This window comes from Homo sapiens, chromosome 19 (assembly GCF_000001405.40).
Source record: "Homo sapiens chromosome 19, GRCh38.p14 Primary Assembly".
In the NCBI taxonomy this organism is placed as follows: Eukaryota; Metazoa; Chordata; class Mammalia; order Primates; family Hominidae; genus Homo; species Homo sapiens.
This window is the reverse complement of record NC_000019.10, coordinates 47081384-47096558: the sequence shown is the minus strand read 5'-3', so window position 1 is coordinate 47096558 and position 15175 is coordinate 47081384. Positions and strand designations below refer to the sequence as shown.

At 51.8% G+C, this 15175-nt stretch overlaps 1 protein-coding gene across 14 annotated transcripts in view, besides 4 other annotated features; it reads left to right on the top strand.

The window, feature by feature from the left end:
• ZC3H4 (zinc finger CCCH-type containing 4) overlaps positions 1 to 15175 on the top strand; it is a 49590-nt gene that overhangs the window by 17218 nt on the left and 17197 nt on the right. For 13 of the 14 annotated variants that reach the window (NM_015168.2, XM_047438517.1, XM_017026530.3 and 10 more), the window contains 9 exons: positions 1951 to 2170; positions 2479 to 2589; positions 6370 to 6592; positions 10021 to 10175; positions 11145 to 11241; positions 11364 to 11503; positions 12104 to 12214; positions 14264 to 14375; positions 14937 to 15046. In NM_015168.2, coding sequence (NP_055983.1) covers positions 1951 to 2170; positions 2479 to 2589; positions 6370 to 6592; positions 10021 to 10175; positions 11145 to 11241; positions 11364 to 11503; positions 12104 to 12214; positions 14264 to 14375; positions 14937 to 15046 — 1279 coding nt within the window. Of the gene's footprint in view, positions 1 to 1950; positions 2171 to 2478; positions 2590 to 6369; positions 6593 to 10020; positions 10176 to 11144; positions 11242 to 11363; positions 11504 to 12103; positions 12215 to 14263; positions 14376 to 14936; positions 15047 to 15175 lie in introns of those variants that run through there. The other variant, XM_047438518.1, reaches the window with a different exon arrangement.
• Positions 1246 to 1295: an enhancer, noted in NCBI's record as "active region_14856". NCBI's record gives its function as "activates an Ori minimal core promoter by ATAC-STARR-seq in GM12878 lymphoblastoid cells {active_cell/tissue: GM12878}" and the evidence as "EXISTENCE:reporter gene assay evidence [ECO:0000049][PMID:35858748]".
• Positions 1566 to 1755: an enhancer, noted in NCBI's record as "active region_14855". NCBI's record gives its function as "activates an Ori minimal core promoter by ATAC-STARR-seq in GM12878 lymphoblastoid cells {active_cell/tissue: GM12878}" and the evidence as "EXISTENCE:reporter gene assay evidence [ECO:0000049][PMID:35858748]".
• Positions 2178 to 2287: an enhancer, noted in NCBI's record as "active region_14854". NCBI's record gives its function as "activates an Ori minimal core promoter by ATAC-STARR-seq in GM12878 lymphoblastoid cells {active_cell/tissue: GM12878}" and the evidence as "EXISTENCE:reporter gene assay evidence [ECO:0000049][PMID:35858748]".
• Positions 2718 to 2977: an enhancer, noted in NCBI's record as "active region_14853". NCBI's record gives its function as "activates an Ori minimal core promoter by ATAC-STARR-seq in GM12878 lymphoblastoid cells {active_cell/tissue: GM12878}" and the evidence as "EXISTENCE:reporter gene assay evidence [ECO:0000049][PMID:35858748]".

Genomic DNA, 15175 nt, shown 5'->3' with positions numbered 1-15175 from the left:
TGCCACCTCCCAGTGTCTGCACAGCTCCTGGCGGCGGGCAGTTTGCCATGTCACTGAGTAACAGCTTCTCCCTTGGGACAAAACCAGTTTTCCCAGTCATGTGGCCCTTTTCGGTGTGGGTGAGGTGTCCAGTGAGGACTTTGCTCCACGCCTGGTTTCTGTGGGCCGCACCCCAGCGGGAAGGCACCTCCCTTGTCAGGACTGCAGCCTGCACCCCCGCCCCATTCCAAGTTTGCTAGTCGGGGAAGCAACACAAGGTGCACATGGGTCAGGTCACCTGTGTTGTTGACTTTGAAGCAGCAGAAAGAGTTTTGTGTCCTGCATTCTGTTTTGAGAGTTGCCCTTGACCTCTGCCCAGGGGTATCTGTGGGGCTGGGCCACTTGGGTTTGAAATAGAACCCATCCCCTTTGAACTGGGAGTGAGAGTTCATAGAAAAAGCTGCTCTTGAGGCGCTCCTTGATGTTTGGGTAGCAGCCCCAAGGCAGACAAAGGGAGGGACATAAGCGAAAGGACAGTGGAGGGTCCTGGGAGGAGGAGTCTGCCACATGCCCTGGAACCTTCAGGCAAGCACGCCTAATACATTGGCTCCCGCTTGGGCAGCTGCGGGCCTTTCCGCAGAGATAGCTCCATTTGTGGCTAACCTTTTGGGGCCTGGGCTCGTGATGTTTCCTCCTTACATCACTTCTCTTTGTGTCCTAGTTAATTGAGACGGAAGGAGTTGGATGCTCTCACGCAAGCCTTTTTGTGGTCATTCATGGGGAACTTTGGGAGCTTTTTAAAATTATTCAAAAAGATTGTTTTTTTCCTTTACCAACTCCTGTACTTGTGAACACTGTGTCTGTGGGTTTGGCTCAAAAACTGGATTCTTTTTCCAGCCTCCCCCTCCTGAACCCAATTTCTTCCTCACTCCTACCCCACCCCATAGATATTTACATATGCAGAATGTCCACTGGGCAGTGTCTGTCATGTTTGGAGAGCACTTTTAAAGTCCTGGAGATTGGGGTGACACGGGGGAATTGGAAGAGTGTAGGATGGGGAGCCAGAAGGGGTTCCACTATCTGGAGGTGAGTCAGAGGAGGGAGAGAAAGCAGGGCCGGTATCATGTGAGGCCCTCAGGAGGGGCCTGGGATCCGTCCCCCCTCCTCCAGCTGCTCAGTGTTTGCTTGCCTCCGGCCTAGAGGTGTGGGACTGACGAGGGTGGGTCAGACCTTGTGACCTGGGACTCTGAGCCTGTTTCCAGCGGTTCTCATGGGGCTTTTGTAATAAAGTACTTGGAGGGTTCTCAGGCCACAGCCCAGGCCTGCCTGTGGGTGGGTCCCAGGTAGCTTGGGGCCACCCCTGGTTCAGAACCAAGGCCCTCTCCACGGTGCACAGCCACCGCCCTCAGCCTCAGGTGGCACTGACGCCCAGCTCACTGGGGCCCGGGGCCCAGCAGGCAATCCTGGGCCTGGGAGGGAGGGGATGTGGGTCTGTGCTCCCTGGGAGAGAGACTTCTGTGGTCAAGCAAGGTTTAGAAGTGCCCCAAGTGCTTCACAGCAGAGCTGTGTGGGTTTCTGGACTATGGGGCTTCCTGGAAGTTGTGCAGCGTTAAGCATTATGAATCCCCAAGATGGGGCTCTTCCTGCTTATGTGACCACAGCACCTTGTCGGTTTCTTCTTCTAAGAACACTAGTTCTGTTGGGAAATCTGGCGTAGATGTGTCCCGGTGTTAGTGGTAATGCCCTTAAACTCCTACCCCTCCCCCAGCCAGGTTAGACTGGAGCAAGCACAGTTCTTTCAGGGGGAGGATAAGGGATGGAACAAGAGGCCATGGCCCCCATGTCCTCCCAGGGTCTCACTTCGCTCACAGCAGTCAGGCCTTCGGTTCCTGTCAGCCTTGGCCAGCCCAGAGCCCTAGGAGGTCTCCTCTCAAACCCTGTGTTCATGGTGGGATTGGGGTTTGTTTGTAGGGAAGATGGAGAGTTGGAAGAAGGTGAATTGGAAGATGATGGGGCAGAGGAGACCCAGGATACCTCCGGAGGGCCTGAGAGAAGCCGGAAAGAAAAGGGGGAGAAGCATCACAGTGATTCGGATGAGGAGAAGTCCCACAGGAGACTGAAGCGGAAACGGAAGAAAGAGCGGGAGAAAGAGAAAAGGAGGTCGAAGAAGAGGAGGAAATCCAAGCACAAAGTAGGTCGGAGATCCCCTGGGACTGCCACTGCCTGGCATTGGGCCTGGCTGAGAGCCCCAGGGGCTGAGCTTTTGCTGTCCACCCCAGAGGGCACTCTTAATGCCTTTGCTTATCTCAAATTGGATAAAGACCTTTTTTAAAAGAGTTGGTAGCTTATGCTTCATTGCCACTAAGTGCCCCAGGTGAGGTGTTTCAGGTGAAGCGCAGAGCCCTGCGGCACATGCCAGCATAGTTTGTCCTGAGGCTGACTGTGCCCGAGTGGCCTGCCTGTGGCAGGTTGCTGAGTCTCCTTCCCCTGTCATTACAGCGCCATGCTTCTTCTAGCGATGACTTCTCTGACTTCTCAGATGACTCGGATTTCAGCCCCAGTGAGAAAGGTCACCGCAAGTACAGAGAGTACAGCCCCCCATATGCGCCGGTGAGTGACTGGCATGCACTGCTGAGCTCTGGGGCCGGGAGGAGTTCAACTGCTTGTGTTTCTTGAGCACTTGCTGTGTTCTGGGCATTTTTTGTGAGTTTCAGTCCTGGGCCATCAGGTATTAATTTAATCCCCATTTTATGAGTGAGGAAACTGAAACTTAGACAATTTCAACAAGGCAGCCCAGACAACCAAGTGAGACCCCACAAAAAATAAAAAAATTAACCAGGCATGCCTGTAGTTCCAGCTACTCAGGAGGCAGAGGTGAGAAGATCCCTTGAGCCCAGAAGTTTAAGGTTGCAGTGAGCTATGATCAGCCACTGTACTCTAGCCTGGGTGACAGACAGAGCAAGATCCTGTCTCAAAAGGAAAAGAAAATTTCAACAGGGTTGCCCAGCTCTCTGAAGTAAAGGAGCTGGGATTTGAACCCAGGCCCTAGCTGACCTCCATGAGGCATGTTCTCGAGCCTCCTCCATGCGGCCTTAGCAAGGCCCTGTATGTCTCAGAGAAAGATGCTGACTGGTCCACGTCACGGCTGACTGGCTTCCACTGTTCACAAATGACCTTTTTGGGAAATTGGCAAGAGAATGAAATGTTCTCAAGTAGCCAGTAGGCAGAGGTTAGATACTCAGCCACTGTCGCTCTCATTTCAAGCAGCAATTTAAATTATTTGTTCAGTTTGTATACCATTTCTTCCCCCAGAAAATCCCATAAGAGAAAAGCAAATCATTTTTTTTTTTTTTTTTTTTTTTTTGAGGCAGAGTCTCACTCTGTCGCCCAGGCTGGAGTACAGTGGTGCAATCTCAGCTCACTGCAAGCTCTGTCTCCTGGGGTCGCACCATTCTTCTGCTTCAGCATCCTGAGTAGCTGGGACTACAGGCACCCGCCACCACTCCCGGCCAAGTTTTTGTGTTTTTAGTAGAGACAGGATTTCACCGTCTTAGCCAGGATGGTCTCCATCTCCTGACCTCGTGATCCGCCTGCCTCGGCCTCTCAAAGTGCTGGGATTACAGGTGTGAGCCACCGCGCCCGGCCGCAAATCATCTTATGATTACTTTACCCAGTATTCGTTGGCACGTGGGTGTCCGGGTTTGGATGAGAAATGTTTTGTCTTGTTTGTTTATTTATTTATTTATTTATTTATTTATTTATTGAGACGGAGTCTTGCTCTGTCGCCTAGGCTGGAGTGCAGTGGGGCAATCTCGGTTCACTGCAACTTCCACCTCTCTGGTTCAAGCGATTCTCCTGTCTCAGCCTCCCGAGTAGCTGGGATTACAGGCATGTGCCACCTTGCCCGGCTGATTTTTGTATTTTTAGTAGAGACAGGGTTTCACGATGTTGGCCAGGCTGGCCTCGAACTCCTGACCTCAGGTGACCCGCCCGCCTTGGCCTCCCACAGTGCTAGGGTTACAGGCGAGAGCCACCGTGCCCGGCTGGTTGAGAAATGTTTTAAAGTTAGTAGGTCTTTAAAGCTGTCCCAGGTATCCCATGACCCAGCATCATCCATCACAACAAATGATTCATTGTCCAATACCATAGTTGAGATTGATCTACTGGTGTAGGTTTGGCCTTCAAACCTGAGGGAGGCAGGAAATGGAGGGAACATTGCGTGCTTTTTATGAACTAGAGCTGGAGGCATTTTAAAGATCTGCTAAAGTACTTGTATGTGTGTCTGTGTGTCTAGCTGTATTTTGCATTGTCCTGTTTTTCTATAATTCGGATTTTTTAAAATTAGTGGGCTTTATTGTTTGTTTGTTTGTTTATTGAGATGGGATCTCACTCTGTTGCCCAGGCTGGAGTGCAGTGGTGTGATCTCACCTCACTGCAGCCTCGAGCTCCCTGGGCTCAGGTGATCTTCCTGCCTCAGCCTCCTAAGTAGCTGGAACCATGGGCCATAACGCCAAGGCTAATTTTTGTACTTTTGGTAGAGATGGGGTTTCAAAATGTTGCCCAGGCTGGTCTCAAATTCCTGGGGTCAAATGATCTGCCCACCTCGGCCTCCCAAAGTGCGGGGATTGCAGACATGAGCCACCATGCGCAGCCGACTTTTTTATGCGTTCATTCATTCATTTATTTAGAGATGGAGTCTCGCTCTGTCGCCCAAGCTGGAGTGCAGTGGCACAATCTCGGCTCACTGCAACCTCCGCCTCCCTGGTTCAAGCGATTCTCCTGCCTCAGCCTCTCAAGTAGCTGGGATTACAGGCGCCCACCACCACACCTGGCAAATTTTTTTTTTTTGTATTTTTAGTAGAGACGGGGTTTCACTATGTTGGCCAGGCTGGTCTCGAACTCCTGACTTTGTGATCTGCCTGCCTTTGCCTCCGAAAGTGCTGGGATTACAGGCGTGAGCTACCACGCTTGGCCCAACTTTTTTTTTTTAATTTTAATTATTTTTTGAGACAGAGTCTCGCTCTGTCGCCCAGGCTGGAGTGCAGTGGCGCAATCTTGCCTCACCGCATCCTCTGCCTCCCGGGTTCAAGTGATTCTCACACCTCAGTCTCCCGAGTAGCTGGGATTAGAGGCGCCCATCACCATGCCCGGCTAATTCATTTTGTATTTTTAGTAGAGACTGGGTTTCACCATGTTGGCCAGGCTGGTCTGGAACTCCTGACCTCAAGAGATCTGCCTGCCTGGGCCTCCCACAGTGCTGGGATTACAGGTGTGAGCTACTGTGCCCGGACTTTATTTTAATTTTTTTGAGTTGTTGTTTCGCTGTGTCACCCTGGTTGGAGTGCAGTGGTGCAGTCTCTGCTCACTACAACCTCTGCCTCGCGGGTTCAAGCAATTCTCCTGCCTCAGCCTCTCAAGTAGCTGGGATTACAGGTGCCTGCCCCACACTCGGCTATTTTGTTGTTGTTGTTGTTGTTGCATTTTTGCATTTTTAGTAGAGATCGCATTTCGCGTCTGCATCTCCTGACCTTGTGATCTGCCCGCCTCGGCCTCCCAAAGTGCTGGGATTACAGGCATGAGCCACCGCGCCCAGCCCCCTGACTTTCTTTTTTAGAGCTGTTTTAAGTTTATTCAAAATTGAGCAGGTAGTAGTAGAGTTCCCTTCTCCCCTCTGCCTGCCCCCTTCCCTGCCTCCAGTTTCCCATTACCAATGTCTTGCATTGTTGTGGTAACTTTGTTAGAATTGATGAGCCGGTATTGATACATTGTTATTACTTAGGGTTGTATAGTTCTCTGGGTTTTGCCCAATACACACTTTATTGTTACATATTCGTCGTTACTCCATTGTCTGGATATACCAGTTTGTTATCCATTTACCTGTTGAAGGATGTCTTGGTTGCTTCCGTTTTTATGAGTATCTTTAACTTCTTCTAGTACCACTTGGCATTACCACACTTTGGAAAGCATCATTTGAGATGGCTGTCCAGCCTGGCTGCCAAGCAGGCCATTTATTGAATTCCAGGGCCCTAGGAAAATTGTGACCAAGCAGCCCCCGCCTGCTTCCCAGGCCCCTCCACGTGCGCTTGCTCTGCATCCTTGGGAAATGCTCCCTTCTTCTCCCCTTTGTTCATCAGGGATCGGGGGTCTGTGGTTCTGTTTTCTTTCTAGTTCTGGCCCTTTATGAAGAACAGAAACACTTGGGCCCGCTGCTACTCCCACTCCCTGGTACGAGAACCAGTCCCCAGAGGGGCTGGAGACCAGCAGTGCAACCCTGGGACAGTAGTGACACCCAGACAGACATGTTCGTTTAGGGAACCCTGGGTATCTTGGTAGTCTGCACCCACGGCTGTGGGATCCGGCTCACCTCTTTTCCCCATCTCTGGGACGCAGTCCCACCAGCAGTACCCCCCATCGCATGCCACGCCCCTGCCCAAGAAGGCATACTCCAAGATGGACAGCAAGAGTTATGGCATGTACGAGGACTACGAGAATGAGCAGTATGGGGAATATGAGGGCGACGAGGAGGAGGACATGGGCAAGGAGGACTATGACGACTTCACCAAAGAGCTGAACCAGTACCGGCGTGCCAAGGAGGGCAGCAGCCGCGGCCGAGGTGAGCCCTGCCCTTACAGTTTCTCCTCTGGGGCATCGGAGCCACCCGGGCCAACCCCGGTGGCCTGGTCTCACAGAACCTCAAGTTTGGTCACTTAGGGTTGGGATAAGTGTACAAAGAAGGGCCAGGCTCTGCATGTGCATGGCACAGGAGACCGGAGAGATCACCCGCTGGGCTGTGGTTGGGGTGGTACCAGGCTGGTGTGAGGCAGGGAGAAGGCCAGCGTGCCCGAAAGGTCACTTCCTGGTCAGCTGTGGGGGGAGAAGGGAACAGCTTCTCTTTCACCTGGGCCATGGTCACTGACAGCTGGCTGCCACACCCCACAGCAGTGCTCCCCCATTCTCCCAGCCCCATCACCTGACAAAGTGTGACTGCAGTCCTTGCCACTGCCACACCTCTGAACCTTGAACCTGTGTCCTTTGGGAGGAAGGTGGAGGAGGCTTGAGCACCAGAGACACGGTAGCCCTGACTGGCCTCTTAGAACACATCTCTGCCGGCGCAGTGGCCCATGCCTGTAATCCCAGCACTTTGGGAGGCCGAGGCTGTCGGATCACCTAAGGTCAGGAGTTCGAGACCAGCCTGACCAACAACAGCAACCAAAAAGAACCATTGAACCATCTCCTGCCAGAAAGACTGCCCAGCCTGAGAATGGCTTCTGGAATCTTCCAGTGCAGGGGTTCTCAGACTTGTGAGCCCTGCCTGAGGCCCAGCTTGTTGAGTAGCTGTTCATTCATTCTTTTTTTTTTTTTTTTTTTTTTTTTTGAGACGGAGTCTTGCTCTGTCGCCAGGCTGGAGTGCAGTGGCGCGATCTCGGCTCACTGCAACCTCTGCTTTCCGGGTTCAAGCAATTCTTCTGCCTCAGCCTCCTGAGTAGCTGGGATTACAGGCACGTGCCACTACACCCAGCTAGTTTTTGTATTTTTAGTAGAGACGGAGTTTCACCATGTTGGTCAGGCTGGTCTCGATCTCGTGACCTCGTGATCTGCCCACCTCGGCCTCCCAAAGTGCTGGGATTACAGGCGTGAGCCACCGCGCCCGGCCCATTGGTTCTTCTAGCAGTCTTTCTTGGATACCTCCCTGGGGCAGCCCCTGTGCTTTGGGGAGATCCTAGGCCAGTGCTGTCAAGTAGAAATAGATTGGAAGCCACCATGTCGTTTATATTTTCTGGTAGCCACATTTAAAAAGTGAAAAGGACACTGGATAGTCCCAGCTACTTGAGAGGTGGAGGCAGGAGAATCACTTGAGCCCGGGAGTTGGAGGCCAGCCTGGGCAACACAGCGAGATCCCATCACTCTTTTTTGTTTATTGGGAGACAGAATCTTGCTCTGTCACCCATCCTGGAGTGCAGTGGCACGATTTAGGCTCACTGCAGCCTCTACCCTGTGCCTCCTGGGTTGAAGCAATTCTTTCTTTTTTTTTTGAGACAGAGTTTCACTTTTTGCCCAGGCTGGAGTGCAATGGCGCGATCTCGGCTCACTGCAACCTCTGCCTCCAGAGGTCAAGCGATTCTCCTGCCTCAGCCTCCCAAGTAGCTGGGATTACAGGCGCCTACCACCATGCCCGGCTTTTTTTGTATTTTTAGTAGAGATGGGGTTTCACCATGTTGGTGACCAGGGTGGTCTCGATCTCTCGACCTCGTGATCCGCCTACCTCGGCCTCCCAAAGTGCTGGGATTACAGGCGTGAGCCACTGCGCCTGGCTGGGTTCAAGCAATTCTTGTGCCTTACTCCCGCAAGTAACTGGGATTACAGGCATGTGCCACCACACCCAGCTTATTTATTTATTTATTTATTTGAGATGGAGTCTCGCTCTGTTGCCCAGTCTGCAGTGCAGTGGCACAATTTTGACTCACTGCAACCTCCGCTTCCCGGGTTCATGCCATTCTCCTGCCTCAGCCTCCTGAGTAGCTGGGACTACAGGTGCTTGCCGCCACGCCCGGCTAATTTTTTGTAGTTTTAGTAGAGATGAGGTTTCACCATGTTAGCCAGGATGGTCTCGATCTCCTGACTTCGTGATCCGCCCGCCTCAGCCTCCCAAAGTGTTGGGATTACAGGCGTGAGCCACCGCGCCCAGCCTATTTATTTATTTTTTTTGAGACAGAGTCTCACTCTGTCGCTCAGGCTGGAGTGCAGTGGCACCATGTTGGCTCACTGCAACCTCCGCCTCCGAGGTTCAAGCAATTCTCGTGCCTTAGCCTCTCCAGTAGCTGGGATTACAGGCCTGCACCACCATGCCTGGCTTTTTTATTTTTAGTAGAGATGGGTTTCACTGTGTTGCCCAATCTGGTCTTGAACTCCTGAGCTCGGGCAATCCACCCGCCTTGGCCTCCCAAAGTGCTGGGATTACAGGTGTGAACCACTGCGCCTGGCCTAATTTTTTGTATTTTTAGTAGAGATGAGGGATGAGGTTTTGCTATGTTGGCCAGGCTTGTTTCGAACTCCTGTTCTCAAGTGATCTGCCCAACTGGGCCTCCCAAAGTGCTGAGATTATAGGATTGAGCCACTGCACCTGGCCACTCTTTTTTTTTTTAAGTGAAGAAAAAAGTGAAACCAATTAAATTAATTTTGATAATCTGTTTTCAACCTAATATGTTTAAAATCTTACTTCAACGTGTAATCAAATTAGACAAATGAGATATTTTATATTCTTTCTCATTTGGGTTTTTTTTTGTGTGTGTGTGTGTGTGTGTGAGAGACGGGGTCTCACTCTGTTGCCCAAGCTGGAGTGCAGTGGCGCATTCTCAGCTTACTGCAGCCTCTGCCTCCCGGGTTCAAGCAATTCTCCCACCTGAGCCTCCTGAGTAACTGGGATTACAGGTGTGCGCCACCACACCTGGCTAATTTTTCTATTTTTAGTAGAAACAAGATTTCACCATGTTGGCCAGGATGGTCTCAAACTCCTGACCTAAGGTGATCTGCCCACCTCAGCCTCCGAGAGTGCTGGGATTACAGGCATGAGCCACCACACCCAGCCTCTTTTTTTTTTTTTTAACTAAGTCTTTGAAGTCCAATGTGTGTTTTGGAGTCTTGTCTAAATCACAGGTCCAAACTACAGGGCTAGCTTGTCTTGTCAGACTTCAAGGCTAGCATCTTGTAGTTTGGACCAGACGTGTTAGTTGCACATTAGCCCATGGGCTGGTGTTTGCCATATTGGACAGTGCAGTTCTAAGTAGACAAGTCCCTGTGAGGAAGGGGAGTGAGTACTGGAGTAGCTGTGTGTCTGGGGTGCTGAGGGACCCCCATTGAGAGAACCAGAGGGTCCAGTAGCCTACCTGGGGCATCTAGGAAGGCTTCTTGGAGGAGGAGGAGGAGGAGAAGGAGGAGGAGGCAGCTGAAGTGATTGACCTCAGGAGCAAAATGTGGGTTGTCTTCTTTCTTGCTGGTGGCATCTGCTCCTGCTGGAGGCTCACTATCTGAATCTCCATGCAGGCAGCCGAGGCCGGGGCCGGGGCTACAGGGGCCGAGGAAGCCGTGGAGGATCGCGAGGCCGCGGCATGGGCAGGGGCAGCCGAGGCAGGGGCAGAGGCTCTATGGGAGGAGACCACCCGGAGGATGAAGAGGATTTCTACGAGGAAGAGATGGACGTAAGGTTTCCTCTGGCCCTGGGGACGTCGGGGTGAGGCTGGTGGGCTTTCCGGGGCGTGAGCACTGCTGGTAGAGGCTGTGAGGCCAAGGTAGGAAGACATACGGCCCTTCTGAAGGAAGGGAAGCCTCAGAGCGCAGATGTATGTGTTTAAAAATATTCATTTATCATTTTGGAATAGATAAAACCTTCACGTGGTTTAAAGTAGAAAAGGTATCGGCTGGGCGCGGTGGCTCACACCTGTAATCCCAGTACTTTGGGAGCCTGAGGCAGGTGGATCACGAGGTCAGGAGATGGAGACCATCCTGGCTAACACGGTGAAACCCTGTCTCTACTAAAAATACAAAAAATTAGCCGGGTGTGGTAGCACGCGCCTGTAGTCCCAGCTATTCATGCAGGAGTCTGAGGCAGGAGAATCACTTGAACCCGGGAGGTGGAGGTTGCAGTGAGCCGAGATCGCACCACTGCACTCCAGCCTAGGCGACAGAGCAAGACTCTGTCTCAAAAAAAGAAAAAGAAGAAGTATCACAGGATGTGCTGTGAAAACATCCCATCACTAGAGAGAAGTTTCCTGAAAGTCCTCTAGAGACATTTCCAGCCAGGCACGTGGTCCTTCATCCCTGTCCCGACCCAGGAGGAGGAGCGGCAGGTGCACTGCACTTGCCATCCTGGTCCTACCCACAGACCTTCCACGCCAGTCCACAGTCCACTGCCCACTCCCTTTTAGAGCCCCACAGTGATGTGTACGTAGGGAGGCTCCATGCTGGGTTTGCCTATTGGGTCAGGTCTTCACAGTGAAGACTGCAGTGGGAAGGATTGGGACCACCTGTCGTCAGGCTGTGTGGAAACGGGTTATGGTATGAGTCCCCTGGATGGTCACCATCCTTCAAAAAGGAGCAGTGTGTAGGTGGGGACAGTGTTCATTGTTCCCTACCTGACGCTCTCCTGCCCTCTCCTCTGCGCATTCCAGTATGGAGAGAGTGAGGAGCCAATGGGAGACGACGACTATGACGAGTACTCCAAGGAGCTGAACCAGTACCGCCGCTCCAAGGACAGCCGAGGCCGAGGTGGGCAGGGGCCTGGAGAGGACACGCTGGGTGGGGCAGGGATTCCAGCAGCTGCTGGAATCTAGTCCTGGGGGTGGGGGAGGGGGTGGTCAGCAGGTCTTCACACAATCTCCCCTCCACAGGGCTAAGTCGAGGCCGTGGCAGGGGCTCCCGAGGTCGAGGGAAAGGAATGGGTCGGGGCCGAGGCCGAGGTGGCAGCCGAGGAGGGATGAACAAGGGCGGAATGAACGATGACGAAGACTTCTATGACGAGGACATGGGCGTGAGTTGACTCCACTCTGATCTGATGTTTGGGCCAAGGTCCCTTCTTAGTCCTTTTTCCCTTTAATGAGTCATTCTGTGAAGCTGATCCTTGCTGCCATCAGCCACCCCCCAAAGGGCTGGCCAGTGTTGACCAGCATAACCAGCGACAACTAGAGTTATCCTGGGGAGATGCGCTGCTGCTGAGACCCTGTGTTTAAAACCATGTCATTAGCAGCACCTGCAGCCATACCTAACACATCTCTGAGGTTCAGAAGGTTCTAGGTGAACCATCCAATTAGCCCTGGAAGGTTTTGCAGGGAGACCCATGCCACCACCTCTGGGTGTGGTGGACGTGTTCCTGCACAGTTGTGTGGAACTTGAGGTGTAAGTGGCTAACAGCTCTAAAGGCTAGAGCTTTTCCTCACCAGGCAGCAACACCCCACACCGTGGGGCTTATAAGGTGCACGCAGCCTCCGTGTTAGATGCAGCCTGCCCATCGGTGCTCTTGTGAGATCTGAAGGGACCCCTCATCCCCTTCTCCCGTGCTTCTTATTAACCCCGATCCCATCTCTACCCTTCCCTTTCATTCCCCTTTACGTCCACACCCTGTCCATTGCAGGACGGTGGTGGTGGAAGCTACCGGAGTCGTGACCATGACAAGCCCCACCAGCAGTCGGACAAGAAAGGCAAAGTCATTTGCAAGTACTTCGTGGAAGGGCGCTGCACCTGGGTAAGGAGCGCTGAAAGCTGGGCACCTCTAGGAGGCCATAGCCCCCAGAGGACACATGGCTTCCAGAAGGTTCTGGAGCCGTGGTGAGGGTGGGTGGGAGTGACTGTGTAGTCCTTGTCCTTGTGGACACTTGCCGATACTGGGAGTTGCCTGGGCGGCCTGAAAGACTCAGGTTACCTTTCAGAGTGAGGAGGACCCCCAGTAAGATGAGGACTTTTGGTTTTAGGGGAATTTTTTGGCCAAAATTTTCAACCAATCCATATAGCCTGAAACGTAATTATGGAGGTTGATGTGAATGCAAAGCAGCAGCATATCCTGGTGAAGTTATTGAGCTTCAGGGTTGAATGGGGAATGATTAAAGCATCCAAACAGAAGAGGAGGGGAGGATGAGGTTAACCTTGGACTTCATAGCAGAGTTCAATGTCAGAAGATGGACCAATGACCACAGAGTTCTGAAGGAAACAAGTATAATAACCCAGTATTAGTTCAGCCGGCAGCTTCTTACCCCAGTATCCCAGGCAGCAACAGACACCAGCAGATGTGTGCTCAGGGCACACTGCACCCCTGCATCTGTCTTGGGAAGAAATAGATGCTTCAAACAAATAATGTTGTGTATAAAATAATTTGTTTTTTCCTTTGAGACCAAGTCTCACTGTCACCCAGGCTGGAGTGCAGTGGCGTGATCTCGGCTCACTGCAACCTCCGCCTCCTGGGATCAAGCGATTCTCCTGCCTCAGCCTCCTGAGTAGCTGAGACTATAGGTGCCTGCCCGCCACCACACCCGGCTAATTTTTGTATTTTTAGTAGAGACAGGGTTTCGCCATGTTGGCCAGGCTGGTCCCAAACTCCTGATTCCAGCCTCCTGAAGTGCTGGGATTACAAATGTGAGCTACCGTGCCCGGGCAGTATTTCTTATTTAGTTACAATTTCTATTCTGTTGAGAAACTTGAAATACATATAAGCAAGAACAAATGAATACACCCTGGGCAACATAGACCCCATCTCTCTCTCTCTCTCTCTCTTTTTTTTTTTTTAATTTTTTTTAGACCGAGTCTCTCTCTGTCGCCCAGGCTGGAGTGCAGTGGTGTGATCTCGCCTCACTGCAAGTTCTGCCTCACTGCAAGCTCTGCCTCCTGGATTCATGCCATTCTCCTTCCTCAGCCTCCCAGCTACTTGGGACGCTGAGGCAGGAGAATCGCTTGAACCTGGGTGGTGGAGGTTGCAGTGAGTCAAGATCGTGCCATTGCACTCCAGCCTGGGCGACAGAGCCAGACTCTGTCTCAAAAATAAGTAAATAAATTAAGACAAATGAATAGGCATTCGTAAAAGGGGGACAGATCAGCTTCTGTCTTCAGTTCACGGTTATGGTGAGTGATTCCTGAGGACTGAATGATGAAGAATGGAGAACACAATCCTGGATTTCACCTAGGTATTGTGTCGTTGAGACTGTGTTCAACCGGAAATAAAGGAAAACTTAACAAAATTGGCTTCAACACATAGACATTTGTCTCTCAGAACCAGGAGTCTGGAGCTGGGTGGGCAGTAGCTGGCAGCGCAGTGGTCAGGGGTACCCTGGGGGACCTAGGCTCATTCCTGCTTACTATTCTGCCATCTTTAAACATATGGCTTTTGTCCTCATGGTTACACGGTGGTTGCTGTGCCTCCGAGCATCACATCCAAGGTCTGGGAGGAAGAAAAATGGACAAAAGGCTTTTCTTTAAATTCAGGAAGTACCCAGGCTTGGTGGCTCATGGCTATAATCCCAGCGCTTTGGGAGGCCAAAGTGGGAGGATCACTTGAACCCAGGAGTTTGAGACCAGCCTGGGCAACATAGTGAGACCTGTCTCTACAAAAAAATATTTAAAAAATTAGTCCCAACAGCCTTTGGGACCTGCCCTTCCTACACCTGTCTTCCTTTCCTAAGGGGGATTCGTTTCTGTCATTGGCCCCTCCATGCACCAGCAGTGACAGTATTTCTTCCCTTTGCAGACAGAAGTAAGCAAGAGCTTCCCACGCCACCACCTTATGTTTTTGTTGCTTCTCTTCTAGGGAGACCACTGTAATTTTAGCCATGACATCGAACTCCCAAAGAAGCGAGAACTGTGCAAGTTTTACATCACTGGATTTTGCGCCAGAGCTGAGAACTGCCCTTATATGCACGATATCCTTTAGTGCCAGCATCTGGTCTGAATGAGGGCGCAGAACTTCTCTGCTCCTTGATGGTGGTAGTAACAGCCAATCTTCCTTCTCTGTGCTTTCTCTCTGTGCCAAGAGCTTTCTGTGAGTCTCCATCTCATTTAACACTCACGTCCGCCCTCAGAGGGGTCTGTCTTTCCCATCCTTCCAGGGAGTAAACTGAGATGCACATGGAGCATGTTCTGTTTACATAGGCTCTCAAGACTGGCCCATACCATTGGCTGAGATTCTTCCAGGTGGTTTTATACCTTGGGTGAGTCATTTAACTTCCCTAGTCTGGTTGACCATCTGAGGACGCAGCCCCCAGCCAGTGTAGTGGGGCTGGAAGTGCCCTGCAGTCTGGAGTGCCGGGGTCTCTCCGTGGATTTCCTGCCAACCCACTGAGCAGCCCTTAGCACATCGCCTCACCTCTCTGGGCTCAGATTTCTTATCTCCAAAACAAAGGGAGCTGGATTCTGCCTTGGGTCTGTGGTGGGGGAGGGGGGCGTTCTGTGAGATGAAGCATTTACCTTAATTTGCCATGAACGTGATTTCCCGTGTAAGCTGTACCACACCACTGGGAACTGCATCAATGGTGACGACTGCATGTTTTCCCACGACCCTCTGACCGAAGAGACGAGGGAGCTCTTGGATAAGGTAATGTCCGGGGGTAACGGGGCCCCCGGCTACAGGAACTGGGACATGCGCACTCCATTGCCTCAGTGCTGTGGCCTGCCTGTCCAGCCTCTGCAGTGCCCAGTTTGGTTGATCTGGAATTGGGCCATT